This window comes from Homo sapiens, chromosome 3 (genome assembly GCF_000001405.40).
Source record: "Homo sapiens chromosome 3, GRCh38.p14 Primary Assembly".
Taxonomy (NCBI): Eukaryota; Metazoa; Chordata; class Mammalia; order Primates; family Hominidae; genus Homo; species Homo sapiens.
The window spans coordinates 8890499-8916782 of record NC_000003.12 but is presented as its reverse complement, the minus strand read 5'-3'; the positions used below and the strand labels follow the sequence as shown (position 1 = coordinate 8916782).

Below are 26284 nucleotides of genomic sequence, written 5' to 3'. Positions count from 1 at the left end.
TTGGATAATACCAATCCAATTTTAGGTTCACTGATTCTTTCCTTAGCTGAGTCAAGTTATCTGTTACTGTGTTGGTTTTATGTGTCTATATCTATATATCTAACATTTCTATTTTATTCTTTCTAAAAAAAAGTATTTCCATTGAAGTAATTTCTACAGAAATGCCCCATCTGTTCATGTATGTTGTTCATCTTTTCTACTAGATCCTGTATCATCTTAATCATAATTTGCTGCTTTTTCATGTTTAAGTTTTGATTGAAAGCCAGACAGTGTAGGTAAGAGTCTGAGGTGCCAGACTTTTTTTTAAAATGTAGCTATATATCACTCACAACTTAGGTTTTCCCTATGAGCCTGTGCCTCAGAGAGGGTCTCTCTCCATGTTCATTTCTCTCCTAGAAGTAGATTGCTGTTACGTATCACTTGGATCATGCTAGGTTTGTGGCAGGCAGAAAAGGAGGGTTCTCTGTTACTCTGATTTAGCTTCAGTCTTAGGCAGGTCTTTCAATCCTGCATCTCAGAGCTGGGGCTTTTTCAGCGATCCTGCCCCTCTCTCACTGCCAGGGGCAGGGGTCCTCTATGGGTCAGGGCCCAGAATGGTTTCCTGATCCTCCTGAAGGGTAGAGGGGGTTTTTTGTTTGTTTTTGTTTACTTCCCTCAGCAACCGATGCTCTGGGGATAACATTTTTGCTGACCTTTCGTCAGTGGCTTAATGCTTTTTTTCTTCAGGGATAAAGATGTGATTGGGGCTTCATGTCCATCCTGCAGTGGGGGTGGTTCTCTTTTGCCAGGAATGGATCTGGAGGAAGATCTTTTCTAATTTGCTGCCCTTCCCCAGTGAGCTACAGAGAGACTGAGGACTCTTGTGGGTGCCCACTGAGGTCTGTAGAAAATAGCCTGCAAGGCCAGGTGCGGTGGCTCACGCCTGTAATCCCAGCACTTTGGGAGGCCGAGGCGGGTGGATCACGAGGTCAGGAGATCGAGACCATCCTGGCTAACATGGTGAAACCCTGTCTCTACTAAAAATACAGAAAATTAGCTGAGCGTGGTGGCAGGCACCTGTAGTCCCAGCTACTCGGGAGGCTGAGGCAGGAGAATGGCGTGAACCCGGAAGGCAGAGCTTGCAGTGAGCCGAGATCGCGCCACTGCACTCCGTCCTGGGTGACAGAGCGAGACTCAGTCTCAAAAAAAAAAAAAAAAGGAAAATAGCCTGCAAATGGATGTGATGCCCGCTGTGTCCAAGCCACCCAAAATTTTTATATTTTCATGGTAGCTCACCCTTGGTCTTTTGCAGTTCATCAAAAAGTTTAGCTGAGATCTTACCCAGAGATAGGGTGGTACCAATTTTTCTCTGGTGTACTGTCCTATGTCAACCAGTGCTCATGATCCCTCTCTCTTCTAAGGCACTCATCTTTGTTTAGGTTTCAGGCTAGTTGATTGCCCTCTTACTTTAGCTCTGATGGATTCAAGAAAAATTATAGTTTTATAAGTTATCCCGCTTTTTCTCGTCATTAGGGTGAGAGTGACATTATTTATAGCTCTCTACAACCTAAACAGAATCAGAAATCTCCCTGAAGAAGATTTAAGCCACTAAATTCTACCCAATCCTAATATAGTTTTCTTTTTTTTTTTTTTTTTGAGACGGAGTCTCGCTTTGTCGCTGGGCTGGAGTGCAGTGGTGCCATCTCAGTTCACTGCAAGCTCCGCCTCCCGGGTTCACGCCATTCTCCTGCCTCAGCCTCCCAGGTAGCTGGGACTATAGGCGCCCCCCACCACACCCGGCTAATTTTAAAAAATTTTTTTTTATTTTTAGTGGAGACGGGGTTTCATCGTGTTAGCCAGGATGGTCTCGATCTCCTGACCTCGTGATCCACCCGCTTCGGCCTCTCAAAGTGCTGGGATTAGAGGCGTGAGCCACTGCGCCTGGCCTAGTTTTCTTAATATCTTACAAGAGGACATGCCAGATGTTCTCTGTCTTTAGTGATACTTGTATTAATGGATTGGATAGAATGCAAATGGTCCCTGTGTTTTTCATGTTATTCCATGACTCATTTTGGAAAGGAGAGAACCACTAGCTGGTCATCTTCACAGAGAGATTGTTTACATTGTTTCTACTGATTTTACAATATCAAGGAGGCAAAAGGTACCTCTCAGTGCTCAGAAAACGTAAACTTTGTATTGAGACAGTTGCATTCTTAAATGATCGTCATAAGGTCTGTGGTTTAAAAAAAATAAAACTTTAATGGGGATTATTTCAAACATATACAGAAATAGAGAAAAGAGTTTACTGATTTCCCCATATGCCTACTACCCAGCTTAAACAATTATCACACTGTCTGAATGTTGTTTTATCTACCATTTACACCCCTTTTTCTTCCATGGATTATTTTGAAGCAAATTCCAGATATAATTTTTAAGTATAAATGAGGGTTAGGGATTGTAGATTTTTATTTCCTACCATATGCATTTCAGTTTTAATGTATTGACTTTGGATGCAGAAAGATAGCATTTGCAAATTCTGTGCTGTTTGCATTCAAAGGCATTTAATGTTTGACAGGGTGTATTCCAGATCTCTTTTATGTATGTAATTGGATTGGTAACATACCTACAGACAAAGGTTCTGGAGGCAAGGACATTTTTCCTGGTATTTGTAGACCTTTTTCTCTCCTTGAACAGTAGCCTGTTGTACTGCATTTAGTACATTGGAATTTGAGCAGACATCCCCTAATAATTGAACTCACACTAAAAAATTAATTTTCATATTTCACTGAGACTTCTGTTTAGACCTGTATATTCAAAGGAGAAAGCAAAATGACTTGACTCTTGTGGTTATACGTTGAACAGCATGTGCATGTGTAAGAGTTCAGTGTTTTAACTCCATGTTATTTTTTTAACCTTTTGTTTTGAAATGGTAATTGATTCACAGAAAAATTGTAAAAATAGATCAGGGAGTTCACATATACCCATCACCCATCTTCTTCTAATGTTAACAACTTAAATAATTATTGTACAGTGATTAAAAAAGACATGTGATTAACCTAGTGGTTATTTTCTTATTTTAACAGCTGCTGAAATAGTTCGAGAAATCGAAAATATAGAGAAGACTAGGATGCGTCTTGAAGCTAGTAAACTCAATGAAAGTGTATGTTAATGGGCTATTTCAGTATATGGATAGAAATGAAGAAAGTTTAATACCCTACAAAAATTAAAGCAAGCCATTATTAAATTTATTCATTTACTAACACATTTCCACTTAGTGTATTATGATTTACTTGCAACTCATTTTAGGACAATATTTGATTGTACTTAGCAGTCTTCTAGCACAAAATGCAATCCAAAGTAGAGTTTGTTCATGAGCTAGAGTTCTATAGAAAATGCCTGTGCCTGTGCATCAGGCAGCTTTGATATTGGTCCTTTCTCTGCTGGTTGTGTTTGATAAGCTACCTCTAAGGACCTCTAAGCTACTGCTAGGGACCTCTATGATCCCTTTTTAGCTCTGGCATTCTGCAATTCTATGATTATACTTATGGAAATGTTAAGTAATTATAAGAGGATAAATTAAGTAATTTGAGGATGGAATATTCTCTTGAGCTTTGGAGGGAATCAGAGACCTAAAATTCTTCACTGTTGCCTTCCACTAGCTTGATGCCCCAAACTTGAAGACAGGATACCAGTGAAGAAAATAGTCATTGTGTCCTGTGACACTGGAGAAAGTGTTTTGGTCTCTTCCAAGTAGACTTTTTTTTTTTCTAGGCCATTTGTAGTGTGTTTGTAAGGAGAAAGCAATGGTTACCTTAAGAAAGTAAGTTTGTAACCAAATAAGTAGGAAAAAAATGGGATTTACATTGACCCTATTATTACCTGTGTGCTAACTGTAAGATGGGAACTGCAGTGAATCATGGAAGCAGATTTCTGATCTTTTAAGTCTGAGGTTTAAAAAGTGGACCTAGAGGCTTAACTTACTGTGTTTTGTATTATTGCATTTTCTATACATACTGCTTTTCTATAATGACCTGGAGAAGTTAGATTGGAAAGGAGAGAAGGCAGACAAGAAGATCAGCCTTACTAATAGTCAGCTAAGTGTCGTTAGTCTTCTGGTTTCAAATATTGCCTGTTGTATTAATGAATGTGGGATATTAAATATTGAAAATAGAAAATTTATTATTTTGTTAATATATAATTGAATCATGTTGCATTTTCTACTGATGAGAAAAAATAATGAGTAAAATGTATACCATTTCTGGTATTTAAGGGAAGTACATAGGAATGATTCTTCCTAGGTCTATATAAAACAGATGAGAGATCATTTTCCTCTATTTTAAACACTCACATTTGAGATTTGAAGGTTTGTAATATTTCCCTTTTTGTCATTTTGGGGAGATTTTTATTAAGGTCTTTTTTTGATTATTTTAGGTAATGGTTTTTACAAAGGACCAAACAGAAAAGGAAATAGATGAAATCCACAGTAAATATCGTAAGTTGCACGACTTTATTTAATTTGTAAAGAGCTTCAGTTGCTGTTTTTCATCTTAAGTAATTTTTCAGAATAATGTTTTATATTAAGGTTCAATTCAAACTTTTGTTAACATTACTTAAGAGATTGAATTTTAATTGGGTGTTTACTTAGTGACTTTTTTTGTATTTTATATGCCTGCTTTTTGATTTTTATGACTAGCATTCTACTTTGAGCTTATCACTAAGCACTTTGCAAATATTAATTAGCTGCTCTCAAAGCATTTCTGTGAAAAGAAGCTGGGATTAAAATGGAAACATTCGGGACTCTATCCTGTCCTCAGGCCACTCAGTAACAATACTTCTGTATAGGATTTCAATGCTTCTATAGCTTGCAAATTTGTGCCAAAAATAGTTTTCATTTTATTGCTTGTTAGCAACCTCCCAACTTTATCACTTCCTTTTCCTTAAATGGTCTTCGTGTATATCTTTCCCAGGGCTAACACATTACTGTTTTGTCAGATAGCTGTTACTCTTTGTGTGGTGGTTGGATTTTAGTTTAAATTTAAGTGCCTGACGAACAGTAGATAGTTAATAGATGTTCATTGAATCAGTATTCCCAGGCATGGTATGTTTTAATTGAGGTAAGATAATTTTTTTCTCTCTTCATTTCTTAAACTCTGAAGGGCCAGGTTCTGTAGTGATGTATTGTGGGAGGGAGGATGAAGCACACCTGCGCTGGATGTAGGTGTGATTGCCTGTGCCTTGCTAGAGTAGGAAAAGGACCCTAGAGGAGTCTTGGATTATGGACTGAACAACAAAAGTCACCATTGTTCTGTTGCTGGACAGATAAGTATGATGTGAACCTCTTTGATCAACTTGTAGGATGTCAGAGTGATTTTTCTTTAGAAAGGAGAACAAAAGAGAATATCAAATGATCAGTGAATTGGCCTGGAAAAATAAGGATCACTAAGGCCTGTGAAAATAAGGAAACCAGAAAACTTGCATTGGGAGAAAGTAATTTAAATAACTGAAAGGGTGGTATCTAATAATCCTCCCATATTAAGAAAAATTTGGACTATATTCAGTCAAGTAAATATTCATTGCCCACCATTTAGATATCTAAAAAGTGTAACTTTACTAAATAGGTGGTATTAATTTATTTAGCCTTAAAATAAACCTCAAAAGTCAAGTGCTTCACAAAGCTTAGATGCTTAGCCTTTTAGTTTATTCATACATTTTGATTTAGTGTCAGGTTCTAACTATACTATTGATATATCTTCATCTTTAAACATTTTATTAATGTTTTACATGTAGTTTTTAAAAAATCATTTACTTTTTATGAGCCTTATCATATAAAAGAGCAGTCTCTTGCATCCTCCAACAACCTGCCTCTATTCCCATTCCCTAGAGGTAACAACTATCAAGCCATTTGGTGCTACTTTTGGTAATTACCTTACAATTTATAAAAAAGTATTTTTTCTGCTACTTCTTGAAGTTTTTCAATTTCACATTAACTATTGATGTGCTAATATGAAAGATGGAGATTTAGCTCATTTATATATCCTGAGCCCTACCTTTGCTTCCCTTCCATCCTTTAAATATTATGTCATAAGTTTTTGTAAGCTCAGTATTTAGTTAGATACATTGTTTATGGCTCAAGCCAGACAATTTGCATAAGATGGTTATAATTCCTTTCATCAAAACATTCTGTTGTTCTTTTTTTTTTTTTTGAGATGGAGGCTCGCTCTGTCCAGGAGTGCAGTGGCGCTATCTTGGCTCACTGCAAGCTCTGCCTCCTGGGTTCACGCCATTCTCCTGCCTCAGCCTCCTGAGTAGCTGGCGCCTCCTGAGTACAGGCGCCTGCCACCACGCCTGGCTAGTTTTTTGTATTTTTAGTAGAGACGGGGTTTCACCGTGTTAGCCAGGATGGTCTCGATCTCCTGACCTCGTGATCCGCCCGCCTCAGCCTCCCAAAGTGCTGGGATTACAGGCGTGAGCCACTGCACCTGGCCTTGTTTTTCTTATAACTAATAATTCTCTTTTGTTTGTTTAACTATTTACCTAGTACTAATATATCTCTAAACCTTCCAACAGAAGTGTAAATCACTTTCCAATACATTTACACACATTGATTATAACTCATTATTTTCTCAAGAACGTCTCTCCTAGGGCCACCCCTAGCCTCTGTTGTCCTGTTCCAGTCTACTATGCTTGTCCTTTTTGCCTTCTGTTAATACATGGCTGCTCTTCTGGAATTTCTTGTCACCAACTTTCTGGGAATTCTGCTCTCCTCCTTCCTGTGTTGGTTCACTTCTTCCAAGTTCCAAGTCTCCCTCTTCTCTTGCCTTGTTTTGGTAGAATACATTTGCCAGGAAACTTCCTGAGAAACGGTGTATGCAAGCTTGTCTAAACTGCGGCCTAGGATGGCCTTTGAATGCAGCCCAAAACGAATTTGTAAACTTTATTAAACATTATGATAATTTTTTTTCTCTCATCAGCTATTGTTAGTGTTAGTGTATTTTATGTGTGGCCCAAGACAATTCTTCTTCCAGTGTGGCCCAGGGAAGCCAAAAGATTGGACACCCCTGGTATAGAGGAATTTCTTGAGATATATAACATTCCATACATAACAGGAAATAACCCGTTTATTATTGATTGATAATTTGGCTGTTTGTAGAACTTTAGGTTAAAAAGATACTTTTCTCCAAATTTTCAAAGGTATTCTTCCGCTGTTTTCTACTTTCCATCACTGTTGCTAATAACTAGCTTGCCATTCTGATTCTTTATCTTTCATTTGTTACTTTTTTTTTTTATCTGCCCATGTTCAGTTCACCACCAAGTTCTGTCAGTCTCTATCTTCTAAATATCCCCCGAGTCCGTACACTTCTTATGTATCACTTTGCTCTCTAGTCATCCCCCATCTACTCTTGCCCCTTCCTAATACTCAGAAGCCAAAACTGTCTTCCAAAACTGCTGAGTCTTCACATCATGCCATTTCTGCCTTGCTGCCCTCCTGCCATTGTAAAGAACTCTTCAGTGGGCTTTCGATTTCTCTTAAGCTACAGTTTGTAAAGTCTGTTATTTCCTGTATCTGGACCTGCCTACCTCTCTAGCCTTGCCTCTTCTCCTCCCCTTACTCCTTGTATTCCAATCACTCTGGTTATCTTTTACCTACTTTACCAAGTCCTTCACTGTTTTAGGGCATTTGTTACCCTCTTCTCTCTTTGTCTGGAACTATCTCTTTCTCTAATTGCCTCTGACCCCCCTATCTATACTCCCCACTCTCAACCAGCTCAACTGTAGTTTCCCTGGGAAACCCATTGTGATCTCTAGGACAAGGTAAGATTTTCTTTCTATGTGCACTTACATTATCTTGTGTTTTTTCGTAGTACTATTCCATTCATTCAGCCATCACAAGTTTGTCAAGTACTTAGCACGTGCCAGACACTGTGCTCGGAGCTGGGGATATAGGAATGAACAAGACAGACAAGAAGCCTACTCTGTTGGAGTTTATATCTTTCTAGTATTTTAGGAAGTGATAAGTGAAAAAATAAAGCAAGGAAGAGTATAATGGTCATAATCATTATTTATTGTGCAATTAATTACTTATTTCTAATTAATTTCTAATTATGTGTTTTTATTAGTGTGCTAGGGTTGCCAAAACAAAATACTGCATGCAGACCGCATGGCTTAAATAACAAATTTATTGTCTTGTGGTTCTGGAAGCTAGAAGTCCAAGATCAAGATGTCAGCAGGGTTCTGGAGGCTAGAAGTCTAAGATCAAGGTGTCCCGAGCTTCTCAGGGCCATGCAGGAAGGATCTGTTCTAGGTCTCTCTTCTTGGCTATAGATGGCCATCTTCTCCCTATGTCTCTTGACATCGTCTTCCCTCTATGTTGTCTCTGTGTCCAAATTTCCCCCTTTTATAAACATATCAGTCATATTGGATTAGGGCTCATCCTAATGACCTCAGGGGTGGCTCCTCTGTCATTTCCCTATTATAAGCAGAGTCCTGAGGTAGGAAAAAAACTCTCTCACTTAGAAAAGAAAAAAAAAAATGCTTAAAGTGAATAGTTGGGGGTTGGGGGCCTGGGGGAAGAGCCTCTTGCTCTCTGGAAATGGGTTCCTTTAATCACTCTATGTCTACCTCAATTCAGATCAGCTAGACCTCCATGAAGGGAAACAGAACCAACATTCCTTTAACCCAAAGGAAAGAGAGAGGTGGCAGGGTCTTGGAAAAGAGACGGATCCAACAATTCCACATTTTAACTCACCCTTTGTCATATCCTGGATGAGCCCCCGTATTATGGGATAGTTCCCTGGACCTTGACCCCCTTTGTGGGTGGGAACTGGAGTAGATCCTTTCACTCAGCGCACTGCTGGCCACTCCTTGCAAGAGGGAACGAATGCTGGAACCAGCCAGATGCTCCTCTCTGGTGGGAGCAGGCTCTGTGCAGGCCCCGTAGCAGTGTCCTAGCCCCTGCCCTTTCAGCATGTGGGTTCTTGTCCAGCGTCTTAGAAAATTGAGGTTGCACAAACCGATAGTGGGTAGTGTATGTGGAGGATTTTATTGGGTGATGGCTGGCAGCGGATGGGAGTTGGAAAGGGGATGATGCGGGAAGAAGGTGATCTTTCCCTGAAGCTGCACCATCTGAAGTTAGCTGCATCTGTCTGTAGTCTCTGATGCTCAGCTGCTTGTATCCCTGACGCTCAGCAGCTTGCATCCCTGACCGCTTGCATCAGCCGCTTGTGTTGCTCTGCCAGCTGAAGTGTTTTTATGGGCAAAGGATAGGGGCATGGCAGACCAAAAAGGCAATATTTGGGCGGTGAGATGGGGTCAGCTGTTTTCACTTAGGGCCAAGGTCCCAGGTTAAGGGTGGAGTTTAGCCAGGAGCCCAGCCATTCTGTATCTCAAGGACACCAAAGAGCCTTTGTTTATGTGGGTCATATCTGTTGATATGTATCACATTATCAATTAAAACTTAGAGGGTGTCTGTTTCCAGCCATGGAATAACTTCATTTATTCTCCTACCTAAAACAAGCAAAATGAATGTACAAAACATATGAAATAGCAATTTTCAAGATACTGGCCACAAAGGACAGGGATCCTTGAGAGGTAAGCAAAAAATGCGATGAGCCTTATAATACAGTTTCCTGGCTGTAGTATGGGCAAGTGGGTATTCCAGGCAAAGCCTGGAGACTCTAAGTTAAGGAGAAAGAGCTGAGAGATCAGAGGAACCAAAGGAGTTAGAGTTTGCAGGACATAGTACTGGAAGGAGAAACCCAGTGATCTGCAGAGAGTTCACCTTGAGTATTCATTTGGCATGCAAAATACGTTCTCTGACCACAGTGAAATTAAATTAGAAATCAGTAACAAAGCCCTTGGGAAAGTCACCAAATATTTGGAAATTAAATAATCCATTTCGAAATAACCCATAGGTCAAAGAAGAAATTAAAACCAAGAAATTTCAAAAATATTAACAATAAACCCATTACATGTTAGCATAAATAACATATTTTGATTAAAAAAAAAAAAACTGTTTCCCCCTCTCCAAAAAATAGAAATAGAGATTTCTATTAGCCCAGATGGAATAACAGAGACTATATTTACTCTCCTCCATGAAAAAAAAAAAAATCTAGAAAACGAGGTGAATGTTGAATGGTTTTTCAGATAATGGGAAACAGGTAGCACAGGACTGTGATCTCTGAGATAGAGAGAAAACAAATCATGACTTAGGCCAAACGTTGCTGTGAACAGACAACATTACATTTCACAGAGATAGAAGGGAACAGGAGTTTCACAGCTTGGAAGCAGCAAACCTTGACAAGACCAGCCTTATTAGAGAGGTCAGAAGTGTTTAGAGTTGATTGAGACCAAATTGGAGGTGAGGAAATGAGACCATTAAGGTAGACAACTTTTCGGGGGAGGTTTTACTGTGTTAAGGAGAGCAAAAAAATAGGGTCATAGCTGGAGGGGGGTGTTGGGTCAAGGGAGGGTTTTGTTTGCTTGTTTTTTAAAGTTTGTTATTTAAATTGGGAGATATTTAACTCAGTGGCTTTCTGACCTTTTTGACTACAACCCACAGTGAGAGATAAATTTTATATTACTACTAACTGTATACATACACATGACTGAAACAAAAGCTTCACAAAATGGTATTTACCTTTTCCATTTTTAACGCATTCTGATACTTTCTATTCTCTTTATTATTTCATTAAGAAAAAAATGCTGGTCTGGATTTACTGAGTTATTTTCATAATTCACACTCTAGGTTCAAAGGCACAGTCTCTCTGTTCACAGCTTCATGATGGAATCCTGAGCATAAGTTAGAGGTTAGCCTTTAATTATAGCAAGGACAGTTGTTTCATGGTAAGAACAAGGGAAATAGATCATAAGTGCACAGACAAGGTATATTGGTGCTTGGAAGATGACAGAGTTTCTGTTAGAATGATTCTATATTTTTCAAAGTAGTGTGAGGCCAACTAAGAGGGGCCACATGGGGAGTGTCGAATATTTGAATGAAGAGAAGAAAGTGTGAGATAGATATTTTGGAGAATAGTAGAGCAAACTTTACTAGAGAAAGGTGCAAGAGTTTTATAGCAGTATTGAATGCCCATTTGAGAATTATGATCATGAAATTAAAGTGTCACTAGTCAGTTCAGGGCTAGATGAATAAGCCTGTAGTGAACATTAGCCATAACTGTTAAACTCTGTTCTTCATCCACATTTAGCTGGTTGGCTATCATAGGTGATATGATGGTGAAAGAAATATATGGGATTTTACTTTGGAAAACACTGACTCCAAACTCATTTCTTGATTTAAAGTAGAAGAAGTATCTCAGTGGCATCACTGTAGAAGGGTGTGAGTCTTTTCTACTCTTGAGAGAGCCTGTTTTTAGTCTTTTGTACCACTGGGTTCTGGGTTCTTGGGCAGACCCAGAGACACTCTGACTGTAAGGGCTGGTCTAAAGAAGAGTAGTTAAAGTGATCAGGGAGTAAAGGGCTTGATTTCGTTCTAAAAAAGATTACATTTAAACTTAGAGAGGCACAAAGGATGGTATGATTCAGGTATTCAAAATCTGGAAGAAAATGAGTTGATTGAACGTGTACTTAGTCATGGACACTCCCACGACTAGCTGAGCCACTTAAAACTTTTAAGAGGAAAATCCAGGACACATGCCCACCAGAACTGAGATTTTAAACTCTGCAGTATTCCTTGCCAAATGGCAGATCTTCTAAAATGAAGTAAAGAAGTAAGTGGGAACAATGTTACTAGTCTTGATCTGTTGACATTTTTCATTTTCTGAGTAGGGGTTATTGGAATTCTCTGGCTAAAGCCAGAGTAGTGGCTGCCATTTACTTTTGGTTTCCAGCCTAGCTGTGGGGTAATTAGATTTAAATCTGGGATTTTATTACTTCAGAAGATAATAAGTCATTAAGTCTCCTTAACTGTTAATGTGATTACTTTAGCAAATTTCTTGACTAATTCTTAAATCTCCAGTCTTTATGTGTACAGTGGAATGGCCTTAGTAGGAAAATAGCTTAGACCTGGTCTAACTAAATTATGTAGATCCCATAGTACTGTGTCACCCTCGCCTAATAGAAACTACATAATGATGATGGTAGTGTTAGCCCATTGATTCTAAGCAGCCAGAGAAATACAAGATAATTATCCTCAAGTGCGTAGAGTGAAATAGGACCTCAAAGAAATCACCTAGCTTGTGTCCTAGATAGGATCTCACTTGTTTGTAAAGAGTTAGTTTTTTCCAGTGATCTTTACGGCCAGCATATATTTCTTTTGCTGACACTTTAATTGGTCTTTTATTTAAAATATGCCATACATTTTATAGCCCAACATTAGTTTCACTAGAAGTTTTCATACATGTACCATACACATAAAAATATTGTAATTAGGAGCATTCTTTCCTGAATGTCTTTGCTGTGCCTGTCAATATTCATGTATAGGAATCCAACTATTTTCTTCCTTGTGCGTCACAATTTAGTGTTTTCTCTTTTTGCGTTAAAAGATAATTTTCAAAAACAACTAACATCATTCTCATATGGATGTAAAATGAACATGTGTTTTTATTAAAGATTTAAACTCATTAGTAGAGAGAAGACTGATATTATGAGGTGATCAAAGAAGGAGCCAAAGAATCATCACATTTACAGATGAGGAACATTGAAATGAATGTATAATGAGCAAAAAACTGGCTTCTTCCACATTGGAGGAGGAAAGTCAATTGAACCTCCACCCAACAGGATTTTGCATATCTATAGACAAGAATTATTTTCCATTGCTCTCAGTTATCTACAACATACAGAGTTATACCATAGCTCAAAGGCAGTGAATGGCTGGAATCTTGGGAGAGTAGATTTAGACAATGCCATAGTTCAACTGAAGCACAATTTTTTCCCTACACCCAGTAAATTCCCTATGCCTTAGTATTATGCTAAGGAAAATGGAAGAAACCAAGTGATAACAAGTACATTGTTGATTTTTGTATGAAAACAGTGTCAAAATTTTGTTTTAACCATTTGTAGTATGGTTCTCCCTAAAAATTTTATAGGATTTATGACATTACTTTGGACTGTGGCCTAAGTATTTAACGTTGCTAGATAAGTAAACTGTGACCTCAGCTGCATGGTTCAGAATCACAAATACATGCCCTAAAGTCCATACAGTAATGATGACTGGCTGCTCTTTATTGAACAGATTGGTACATTAATAATGATGATCTTGAGGTCAGGGTTAATTATATTCAAAGGTGTTAAAATGGTAGTAAATAAAGATTAGAGTTAGTATAGTATCGTAAGATAAGGTAGAATTGGTTGGGAGAGATCTTAGAATCTTAAAGGGGCTCTACTGGGAAACCGGCCGGAAATGTGAAGAAAAAAAGGAGAGCTGGAGTAGACGGACATTCCTTTGTTATGATGATTCAACTTTCCTAGAAGCTTCTATTTTAGATTCAGCAAATACTCTTAGTTCTCTTGTATCTTGGAAGTTAGAATGGTATCATTTGTATATATTTAAGAAAGCGGGCATCTTTCATGCTCTTATGATTATGTAAAAGCCTTTCTAGAGAATGGAGTTTGGGAAGAAACCTAGAGTAGCTAACTAGGAATATCATGTTTCCATATTTGTATTTGAGGAAGGGAGAAGATAAAAAGAAGGTTCCATGACACTCCAGCCCTTTGTATTCTTATGCTTGGCAGCTTTTAAATTTATTGCAAGTGATTCCTAAGGATGCTGTTCTTGAGCAAGCTTGTACACCTCTGTTTTTTGTTTTTTGTTTTTTTTTTTTGAGACAGAGTCTTGCCCTGTTGCCCAGGCTGGAGTGCAGTGGTGCAATCTCGGGTCACTGAAACCTCTGCCTCCCAGGTTCAAGTGACTCTTGTGCCTCAGCCTCCTAAGTAGCTGGGATTATAGGCACACAATACCACACCTGGCTAATTTTTTTGTACTTTTAGTAGAGATAGGGTTTCACCATGTTGGCCAGGCTGGTCTCGAACTCCTGACAAATGGTCCACCTACTTCGGCCTCCCAAAGTGCTGGGATTACAGGCATGTGATACCACACCTGGCTAATTTTTTTTGTATTTTTAGTAGAGATGGGGTTTCACCATGCTGGCCACGCTGGTTTCGAACTCCTGACAAGTGATCCATTCACTTCAGGCTCCTGAAGTGCTGGGATTACAGGCGTAAGCCACCATGCCCATCCCTTGTACACCTCTTGATATTCAGTTTGTCAGTTGTAGATGGTTAACTTTCATAGTCCTAGCTTTACTGAGAAGATCTTTTGAATTTCAGGTAAAAAACATAAGAGTGAATTTCAGCTTCTGGTGGATCAGGCTAGAAAAGGATACAAGAAAATTGCTGGAATGTCACAAAAAACAGTAACAATAACAAAAGAAGATGAATCTACAGAAAAGCTATCTTCTGTATGCATGGGTAAGAGACTATAATTAAAAACAGACATATGTCGAATTTCATTATTTACTTTTAATATGAAAAAATTAAACCAAAGAAATTTACTTTGGAGTTCTTAGTTCTTTGAAATGAGAAAAAGTATTTTTAGACAAACTTCATGTAGCAGTTTGTAAACTAGATTTATTACTATGGGGAAAGTGGTTGGAAGAATGTCCTGAAGAAACAATCTCTTTTTGTCTATCGTCCTTTCAGTTAATGATAAATCATAAATTTCTTTGTTATTTAAGCTTCAGGATGTTTTCTAGATATAGAATTTATTGGTGGAGATCCTGTAAAGAGAGTGAATTATTTTTGTGATAGAACACTGGTGTTTACTTTGGATGAAATGTTCTGCCAAACAGTCTAAAGTTAACATACCTGGTAGGCTAATACAGAGCACGTTCCTTAACTTTGATCCATTTTAAAATTTGAAATTGATATTTTAATTCTATTGCCTGGGCTTTGGACCAGTGAACAAAAAAGAATCATAATGGGGGAAAGTGCGCAAGAAAATTGCTTATTATGTTTTTCTATATTGTGGTAAAATATACATAACACAATGTTTATCTTTTTAACCCTTCATAAATGTACAAGTCATTGGCATTAAGTACATTCACAATATTGTGTAACTATCACCACTGTCTATATCCAAAACATTTTCATCATTCCCAGCACAAACTTTGCACTCATGAAATAGCAACTCTTCCGTCCCCTCTGCCTCATAGCCCTGGTAATAACAATTCCACTTTCTGTGTCTATGAGTTTGCCCATTCCAGGTACCTCATATAAATGGAATTGTATAATATTTGTCTTTGTGTGTTGGCTTCTTTCTCTAAGCATAATGTTTTCAGAGTCCTTCAATGTTGTAGCACATTTTAAAATTTTAAAATATTTTAAAATTTTTGATTAAACAGTATTCCATAGTATGTATATGTCATATTTTGTTTATCCATTTATCTGCTATGGTTATTTCCACCTTTTGGTTCTTATAAATAATGCTGCTATGAGCATTGGTGGTCAGATATTTAAGTTTCAGCTTAGAGTGCGATTTCTGATTCATATGCTGGTTCTATGTTTAGAACCTTTTGAGGAATCGTTAAACTTTTCCATAGTGGCTGCATTATCTTACATTCCCACCAGCGAAGCATGAGGGTTCCAATTTCTTCACATCCTCATCAATGCTTGTTATTTTCTGATTTTTAAATTTTTTAAAAATTGTAGATGTGAAGTGGTATGTCATTGTGGTTTTGATTTGCATTTCCCTAGTGACTAATAAACAATTTGTGCATAAAGTGCTGCCTCAGTATGTAACTCATGGTCATTGAACAACTCGAACTTGTTCATGCAGTTGTTAAAGGATATTTCTAGAAACTAGTTTAGCACTTGAGAAAATCTGACTGAATATTTCCCATTAAGAAAAGTTTTTTTAATTAGTTGAACCTCTCTTGAATATCATTGATGGCTTGTATGTATTTATGAACATCAATATTACTCTTTCCGGGGTTCAGAGGTGATTGCTGCTTTTAGATTGCTGTGCATGAATGAGATGTCTGAGAGGGTAAGGTATGTGAGAGAGATGAAGACAGACACAGACTGACTGAAAAGATGGATTTTGTATAGCATCATACAACCAATATAATTGTTGCTCTTTAGAACATTGAAGTGCTCATGTAAGTGAACAAGTTGCATATTCTCTCAAGTGAAAACTTAGCCTGTTTTTGTTGTGTGTCTCTGGGGAGCTCTGATGTCTGAGCCTCACTCTTCGGGGCTCTATTTTGGAGTCCTGCATTCTGAGATCTAAGGGCAAGTAGGAAGGATAACTTATTTTTTATGCCCACAGATTATTGAATGCTGTTTGTTCCCAAGAGGGAATATATCTTCTAGAAGTGTATGTAAGAGTGGAAGAAGTAAGAAAAGAATACAGACAATGTGCAAAAATAAAAGATTGTTTTAAGTTGAATTCCTGTTCCCTGGTTTGCTAGCTTGCTTGCATGCACCTCACTAGTTGAGTAATATAGTCCCTGGGTGAACCGAGTTGACTGGGGGATTGGCTCCTCTTAATGTGATTCTGGTATCTGTTTACAAGAGGAGTTCCTAGAGGTTCAGGATGGTCATCCTGGCTAAATTCTTTTTCCCTTTTCCAGATATACATTAGAGGGTGCTGTTTTGTTTTGCTAATGATAGTTTATTGACAGCCAGATGACATTAGGAGCATATTTTTAGGAATTACACTCTTGTGAAGTATGCTGTTCTCTCAGTGTAACAAAAACTTAGAACTATTTCTGAAAAAAATTTAACTGTATGAACTTGGCAAGGTTTTTTGAAGAATTTGTTATGTTCTTTCCCCATAAATTCTCTCTGTATAATCAAACCTTGACAATTGTATTTTTAGTGTGCTTTGTTGAAGACCACTTGCCTCTACAAGTGCTTGATGAGTGATGTGTGAAAGCTCTGTTTCTCTGTGAGGAAACACATGAAAGGAGCTCTGTAGTATTATTAGCACATGTAGCTTGCATGTGAGGTACCTCCTCAGTTCCTGAAAGTTAAGGACAGCACAGATGAAAATCCCAGCAGCGTTCATGATGAGTGGGAGAATCCTGGGCACTAAAGAATCTTTCACAGATATTCTTCCACTCATATTTGTAGAAAATTGGCCATACCCATATGCCACATTTTTGTAAACACTGCATCCTTCCAGCTTTTTGGGGTCTTTATTTTTATCTGCAATAAGAGACCTTGAAATCTGAGAATATGACAAAGAATGCACGGAAATGTGATGTGTATTGGATCAAATGGAAATATTCCTTATGTCTGTTTAGTTGTCCTTTTCCATAGAGAATAATTAGATTCTAGTTAACCTAGAAAAATGTTTAGAAAAATGTCCAGATAGATTCACTATCATATAATAGTAGCAAATATTGTGGTTGTCTTATTAGTTGAATCTGTAGTCTTTTTTTGGTTATACTTCTTATGTTGGTTTGTCAGTGTTCTCTGATCTATGAAATATGCAAGAATTCCTTAGTGATATGTTAATAGAGGCCTCATTAGAATTACAAGATTCTTCCTGCTTCTGGTTTTAAAATAAATTTTATTTTTAAACTAATTAATCTTGGAAAAACATGGGCTGGACAGTATAATTAGATAGCACCATTGTAGTGTTAATTCTTGCTCTCTGGCTGTCACTAGAGTTCTGGAATCTATGTGACATATACTTCAACTTTACTAAGTGCACATGGCAGTATTAAGTGTTGCAGAAGTAATAGGCATACAGAAGTTGTAGATTTTAAGGTACTCTTAAATTTATTTTTTCCTAGGACAGGAAGATAATATGACCTCAGTAACAAACCACTTTTCTCAATCAAAGCTGGACTCCCCAGAGGAATTGGAACCTGACAGAGAAGAGGATTCTTCTAGCTGTATTGATATTCAAGAAGTTCTTTCTTCATCAGAATCAGATTCATGCAATAGGTAAGAAACATGCAGTAGTTGATTATTTTAAATATCTACTTCATATGCACATGTAGATAGATAGGCAGAAATAATTAGAATGTAGCTTTGAGGCATGGCATGGTGTGTCACTCTTACATTTCAGTCCCCTTTTACTGCTGGGTCTTCTTCACAGTGATAACAAGGCAGGATTTGGGAAGGTAGTGCAGGGATCACAGGGTGAGTTTGGTCTCTACTCTATAGCCTTTATGTAGATACTTTTCCTACCGTTGGAAAAGAAAGCATGATAGACAGTGAAATTTTTGTCAAGACGATGAGTAAAGGAGATAAAAACAACTATATTGGAAAACAGAAATGATCAGAAAGACATGGCGCATAGGAGGGTTAAGAAATGAAAAATTTAACTGAGTAAATAGAATAGATGGGGAAACTTTAAAAATGAGAAGTTTGGTAATGAGTCATTTTGAAAAGATATTTTAAAAAATATATAGGGTTTATTTTACACACACACACACACACACACACACACACACGCATGCACACACACATACCAGTTTTTGTTCCGGTCTTTCACTTAATGTTATGTCATAAATGTTACGTTTCTATAGGTTGGCACAAAAGTAATTGAAACCACAGTTACTTTTGCACCAACATAATAGCTTATGTTTATAATTGTTATTTTTTAATGAGTACAGTATTCTGTTATGTCTCTGCGCTATAATTTACCAGACCCTTCAGTTTCTGTTAGAGCTCTACATTTTTCCCAGTGTTCTACTTATGTACCTGATGCTATGGTAAAGCTCTTCCTTTGTTTCTATTGAATACTTTTTTTTTCATTTTTTTGAGACGGAGTCTCACTCTGTTGCCCAGCCTGGAGTGCGGTGGTGCGATTTCGGCTCACTGCAACCTCCACCTCCCAGGTTCAAGCATTTCTCCTACCTCAGCTTCCCAAGTGGCTGGGATTACAGGCCTGTGCCACCACGCCTGGCTAATTTTTTTTTTTGTACATTTAGTAGAGACAGGGTTTCACCGTGTTGGCCAGGCTGGTCTCAAACTCCTGACCTCAAGTGATCCACCCACCTCGGCCTCCCAAAGTGCTGGAATTACAGGCATGAGCCACCGTACCTGGCCACTTATCTTTATTATTCTGATATGTAGGCATTGCCCTCTGAATGAATTGTACTGATTTAAAATGCCTACCTATCAGAATCATTGCTTATTGCCAGTGTTATTTAATGACGCTGAAACTTAGTCAAGAGAGACACCCATTTGATTCTGGTAACTGATACCATAGAAATCAGGAAAAGATTCAAACTTAGAAGGGACTACCAGTCAAGACCAAATTCCTTTAGTAGCATCATACTATGTGGTATTTATTTATCTGGTCCAACTGGGCGTTCTCAGGGTGGGGTTAATGAGTATATTACATAGATTTGGCCTTGCTGTGCTGAAGACATGCCAGTCTTGTCACCAGCTTCATACTCAACCCCTCAGATTCTGTTATCAAGGACGCTTGTAATCAAATTGAAGCTTAAGTGGTAGAGGAAATTTTCATTTTGGGGATGTTCCTTGTCTTTCACTTCATTTTTCCTTGTGGGGTTCAGTGTTGTAAGCGATTTCTATTATCCCCCTACATTTTATTATTTGATTTTTATTTGTGTCAGTCATTTATACTGCTGACAGTTGAAAGAATAAAAACAGAATGAAGCATCCTTATTTTGTTTCCCTGCCCATTTAACTTCAGAGTTTGGTTTAGTGTCTAGTTGTAGCAGTGGATATTTTGCTAATTAAAAAAAAGAATTTCCTTTGCATTAGACTCTCAGAGAGGATAATCTTTTGTTTCTTAAGCTTGTAAGTTAAATGTAAGCACAAATGTTTAATTCTTTTTTGAACTTGAATTTTTGTAGACATCCATGAGAACTCCAATATTTGGAACTAACCTAATGTTCTTATTTTTTTTTTCCTTAAAAAAATACAGCAGTTTACTTTTTATAAGAATTTAAAGTGATTGACTAAAAGGAATGTATTCTTTCTCTCTCTTTTTCTTCTATCTTTAATACAATGTTTCCTAACCCTTTTCTTCAGCACACATAGCAAATGATAGTATTTCTGTGGCATGCCAGGATAAAGAGATGATGCCGCCATGGGTTTCAGCCACCCTGCGTCTCACTGTGGGCTAGGGATTAATGCCTAGTGTACAACTACCCCGTGGGTGAGGGAGAGAACACACCAAATAGGAAGCTTAGCTTTTATTATATGAATACACCGTTGAACAGTTGAATAGGTGGGACATACATGGACAAATAGGCTCATGGTGCTTCTGTGGTAGAAAGGACAGCAAGAGCATTTGAAGCGCCCCTGTTTTGGGGCAGGTAAGGCAATGATTGAGTCAGTCGAAAAAGAAATTAAGTGACTTAATCTCATGATCCTAATGAATGGTAAAGCCAGTTTTCTGAATTCAGATATAATGCTTTCTTCTGCTTTTTTTTGCTGTTCTCCAAATCTCAGAAGGCACTGAAGCCAGATTAAAAGTTAAATGAACAGGTGACATATTAAAGTTACAGGTTTATGAGTTTCCCCACTCCACTGTTTTCATGTAGCTCCAGAACCTTAGAGGATAATGGAAGACAGATTCAGTCCAATGCTGTTTTTCAGAGTAGAATCTATCATGTTTTTAAAGTTAAAAATTATCAGTGTACATATTAAATACAAGTTTTTCAGATTTAGAATTTGTTCTTCTGAAAATAAGAGTCCTGAATGTCTCCTGGACAGAAAACCCTGGTTCTGGGGGTTTTAGGATCCAGAAGACAGCATGCCCAGATGGGCTTGGGTTAGTTCACTTGATTTGCACGTGAAAGATGTGAGGGTACAGGAACTGTGTGGGTTGGGGTGGTCAGAAAAGAGGGAACAGATATGGCTATAGCAAGAGAGAATTTTTGCAGGTTGTTTTTTAGGACTAGATCTAAACATTTTAAAATCAGCATTTCAACTAGGATTCCTGGATAATGGGAAAGTCCAGTGTTCGGAACAGCATGTATAGCATGTGACCTCTTTTCTAAAAGGGGGAGGAATACTTATATTTGTTTGGTTTTGCATAAAGAAACACTAGAAGACTACACAACAAACTAATGAAAGTGATTGCATGTTGGAGATGAGAAAACAGGTTGGATGGGAACAAAGGAGGAAGTGGGCCAACTCAGTATACATCTTTTATGTCATTTGATTTTGAACCATGTAAATATATCAATCTACTTTAAACAAACAAACAAAAAAAAAAGAGAGCAAGTACTGTTTAAACCTTACTCTTTATAAAGTTTTGGAAATCATCTCATCAGTGTTAATCGTCATCATAAATTGGTTAATAAAGTTTGGTGGTGTAGACAGTAAGGAAGACAAATATATTAATGAAACTTTGTAATTTAGAGGGTATTGGAATTATTAGAAAAACTACTAAGTAAGTGTTTATGTTTCTGGTCAAATTGAGAGAAAAAACATCAAACTAGTGGAACAATATCCTAAGTTGGAAGTGAAGTATCTTACTGTAAGTCAATGATGGCTTTGTATTTTTTAAAATCTTCATAATTGCTGTTGGAAAGTTGACATTATATTTCATTTTATAACTTAAATGTGACATTCGATGAATGTAATGTTGCCACAAAATCTTTTTCTACTAAACCTCATTACTGTGTGTATTTTATTATAGCCTTTTTTGTGGGAATATTTATGAACTTTAGAATACCCTGAAAGCTAAATGGTTCATTCTGTTTCAGGTGGTGAGTTTTTTTTTTTGGAACTTTCTAGAGAAAATGTGAGAACATGAAACAGTTCTTCAGTATCTTTTCCATTTTTGAAAGAGCTTCGGCCGGACACAGTGGCTCACACCTGTAATCCCAGCACTTTGGGAGGCCAAGGCAGGTGGATCACCTGAAGTCAGGAAGACCAGCCTGGCCACATGGTGAAACCTGGCCTTTACTAAAAATATAAAAATTAGCCAGGCGCAGTAGCATGTGCCTGTAATCCCAGCTACTCGGGAGGCTGAGGCAGCAGAATTGCTTGAACGTGGGAGGCGGAGGTTGCTGTGAGCCGATATCGCGCCACTGCACTCCAGCCTGGGTGACAAAGCGAGACTCCATCTCAAAAAAAAAAAAAAAAAAAGCGCTTAAACTGGGTGTGGTGCATGAGGCAGACCATCTTTTGGATGAATGGAACATTTGTTTTAGGGGAATGTATCTTTGTCCAAGATACTGTGACATCAAGTCCTTGAAATGTGTATGACTCCTTGAGATCCATGTACCTAGCAGTCAGTCTTCCTTGTTTCATTGTGGGAGGTCAGCTCAGCCATTGGCTTTATGACTCTGGAAAGGTGCCTGGCACATGGAATTTTAAATTAATCTCCCAGAGTTTCAGTTTCCTCATTGAAAAAAATGGAATAATAGCTTTTTTTGTTTGTTTGTCCCTCTAACTTCCCTGGATGAGTCTACAAAGCAAATTAGATGATCATATATTGTGAATGCTTTGTAAATAGAACGTAAACTTATTGTTGCTTGGTTTCATCTCTTGTTAAGGATTTTGCATATATTAGTAAGTTATTTTTATTATTTTCTCTTAAGCTCTCTTCATTTTATCTTTCTTTAGTTCTAGTGGAGAGCAGTGAAACTCTTAGCCTTGTTTTTTCCAGAACTGTGTTGATGTTTGTGCGACAAAAACCTTATTGATAAGTAGGCAGGAGAGCGTATTCTTAACTCTGGTAAAATCAATAGCATTTGATTTTTCTGCTACCACTATTGAAGCAGCACAATGTGGCAAAACAAGATGAGTTTTGCATTCCCATTCCTGTTTTTCTACTTACTTTAATTTCTCTCAGCCTTTGTCAAGTGGGGAGAAAACTTAGGGTGCTTCTGTGAATTAAAGCTAATGTGAAGGCTGGATGTGGTGGCTCACACCTGTAATCCCAGCACTTTGAGAAGCCAAGCAAGGCGGGAGGATCACTTGAGCCTGGGAGTTTGAAACCAGCCTGGGCAACATAGGGAGATGCCATCTCTACAAAATATTTAAAAATTAGCCAGACATGGTGGTATGCACCTATAACTACTCAGGAGATGTGGTGGGAGGATTCCTTGAGCACAGGAGGTTGAGGCTGCAGTAGCTGTGATTGTACCACTGCACTCCAGCCTGAGTGACAGAGCAACACCCTGTCTCAAAAAAAAAAAAAAAAAAAAAATTAAAAAAGCTAATGTGTACAAAGTAATTATCACTGTGGCCTGTAGAGGTAGTTGCTCAGAACATGATAATTTTCGTCATTGTCATAATTGAATGAGTTTTTTGGAACCTGGAACTTTACTATTCTAATACGTTAGCCAACTGCTAAAATATTTGGCATATAAGCTATTGTTTGTCTTACAGATTACTAAAAATAGGGGTTTGAGGGAAGATTCATGGTAGCTGACAGAATTTATTTAAGTACCATTGTCTGGTAGGCATGTTGTCCTGCATTGATCCTCCAGTGATCTACCCTTGAAGAGTTATTGTTTTAAATTGGATATACTCAACCACGTTCAAATTAGTGCCACAATTAAGGGAAGAAATATGGGCAGGTAACTACTAGATGCTAGAAAAATTCCACTTGTAGGTAATCCTTAATCCTCAGGATTTTTATAGCAGATGTTTGCGTTTTTTCCTACCCCGCAGTACCCTGTGTACCTGCCATGCTGGTTCTGATGAATTTACACCCTGGTGTCATAGAAACAGTGGAAATCAAAGATTAAAATAGAGCACATAGTAATCAGGTTTTCTCGGGCAAATTGGAGCATGGTGCTGAGGCAATTATTCAGATAATTCAGACCCAAATCTGTTTTATGAAAATGGAACTGACATTTGTTGAACATTTACTGCGTACCAAGCTCTATGCTAAATATTTAATGTGTTATATTGAATAAGCTTTTAAAAAGCCCTAAGGAATACATGTATCATTATCCTGATTTTATATGTGAGGATATTGACACAGAGGAAAGTTAAGTAACTGGCCCAAAATTACACAGTAAGTAACAGAAATGGGACCTCAACTTAACTTTGTCTGACACCGAAATCTGAGGGTTTTTTCTCTAACTAACATTACCAGTCATACATTTGCCGTAGGTATTTGACATCTTACTTTTCAGCTTCAGTAGTAAATTCTTTACTAGTAGAATGAAATAAGATGCTACAAAAGGAATATGCGAAGATAGTGTTTTACTTTGCTGAAGAAGCTGTGCTACTTTCCGTCAGAGAATGACAAGAGTGAGATATTACAGAAAAACCAGCTTGGCCAAGGTGTGCATGTGTGTGTGCATGCACACACACAGAATTAGCTTACATTTCTGCAACTTTGACCTGAAAATAAGGCTAAAAGCTGACTAAAAGGTGTGAAAAATAAATTGCAGGTGTTCTAAATAAGCCTATTAATATCTTCCTGGACCAAGGTTGGGAATTCCATCGAATTCAAGATTCGATTTTGAATCTTTGCCAGTGAGTCTTTCTCACGTGTAATCTATATATTAATATCCACTGTAGCCTGGACCAGTAGGGACATCAGAGAGGGCCATTTGAATGCCCTTCCATAGGGGAGCTGTAACGTTCATGTACCAAACCTTACATTCATCCAGCTTCTTGAAGCGTGGTCTTCCAGAATGTTTCAAGACCAAATAGTAGACAAGCTGAAAAAGTTCCTCGTTCTAGACTTTAAAGCTGCAGTTGTGTAGGCTTGTATATGCTCTGACCCCAGAAATATCAGAATGAGTAATTAATTTTCTCCTTTGGAAGATTTTTTAAATGTCTTGAAAGAATGTTAAAGGAATTTTTGATCCTCAAGGCATATTAAAATGACTAAGACTTCAAAAATATTAATTGCTTTTATCCCCAGGGAAGCGATCTGAGTGATAATTTTAGTAACACTGACTGCTATACCTAAGTGTCTTTTTGTAAAATCCTATTTGTGAAACTATGTTTAATTTTAGGAATGTGGTTTTTGAGCAGATATGGTAATAAGCACATTACTTGAAAAAGGAATGAGCAGTTCTGTCTGGTATTTTAATTGTATTAGCATCAACTGTGTTTTTCAGTGGTGACTAGAATTGGAACAGCAGATATAGCAGATAATCCTGAAACTTCATTTTAGATAAAATTCTGAACCTCCCAAATTTTGTATCAGTCCATTTAGTGATTTGGTTATCATTCAGGTGAGTGCCTGAGGTGGGGCAGAAGGAAAGATAATGGGAATTGAAGACACCAGGGAGCTGTGCAGCCTGGCTGGGCAGTGACATTGAAGTCACAGAGGAAGAGGAGATTGCAGGCAACTTCTGAGATGTGTTTTTTGTTAACCACCTCTAACATCTGTTTTCACTGAGGTAGCATAGCAAAAACCTCTTAGATTTATGTCATTAGTGTACTGCAAATGTTTTCCTTTAACAAATCAGTGATTTGTGCTGGTGATTTGAAAGCCCCTAGGTAAATTGATCACAGACTCTACTAGGTTAGTTGACAGGCTTGGCCATCCTCCTTTCTTAGCTAGAATAGTAGAGATGCTTTGTAACCTTCCTGTTTAAAAAAAAAATTGTGTGTGTTGTGGAGCACAGGGGGGTGTTGGCAAGAAGCTTACTTTACTCTTTCTCCAACTCTGTGACCCCTGCCAGGCCCCAGAACTACGTGATCCTCCGCAGCTCCCATTTCCCTAGCTCGTGGGTTTTCAGTAGGAGCAGTATCACCCCCAAAGGGTGGAATTTTGTTTTTCGTGGGGGTGGGAAGTGGGTAAAAAGGTTACTGTGTGTATGCATAAAACACAGATATATATATATATATATATATTTTATATATATATGCTTTATACATGTGCGTGTATGTGTATCTCAACACATGAACAAACAGACATCATATTTGTGGTATTAAAATTTCATGGGATTGGGGGAAAAGTGTAAAAAGGCTGCTTAGGAAGATGATAGTTTTAAAAGCTTGAGAAACAGTACCTTAAGCACATCAGGTAAAGAAGAATGGATGACACTGGAGTAGAGAGAAGGGAATGAAAAGGTTGGGTTAAAACAGCTTCAGCTTTGTTTAAATTGGAGTAGTTCTCTCCAAGGTAAGGAGTAGCAGGAGCTGGGGTCTTGTGAATAGAAGGGTTTAGAACAACTTCTGTTGAAGTAGGGGTGGCAGGGAATCTCAGCCTCCCTGGCTAGTGGAAAATACTAAAGATGGTAAAATCTGCCTCAGTGTTTTTCAGCGCCTTTGGCCTTTGCTCCTCCTCTCCTAATGGAAACTACATTTGGCTCTCTCTTTCCTTGCCCACCCCCACTCTCCCTCCTTCCTCTTACTGGTAACCACTGGTTTGCTTTCTGTCACTATAGACTCATTTGTTTTTTTCTAGAATTTTATATAAATGGGACGA

At 37.9% G+C, this 26284-nt stretch overlaps 1 protein-coding gene across 2 annotated transcripts in view; it reads left to right on the top strand.

The window, feature by feature from the left end:
- The window catches only part of RAD18 (RAD18 E3 ubiquitin protein ligase), an 86398-nt gene that overhangs the window by 46690 nt on the left and 13424 nt on the right, over positions 1 to 26284 (top strand). For both annotated transcript variants that reach the window (NM_020165.4, XM_017006873.2), the window contains 4 exons: positions 3063 to 3139; positions 4411 to 4471; positions 14263 to 14403; positions 17736 to 17889. In NM_020165.4, coding sequence (NP_064550.3) covers positions 3063 to 3139; positions 4411 to 4471; positions 14263 to 14403; positions 17736 to 17889 — 433 coding nt within the window. The remainder of the gene's footprint in view (positions 1 to 3062; positions 3140 to 4410; positions 4472 to 14262; positions 14404 to 17735; positions 17890 to 26284) is intronic.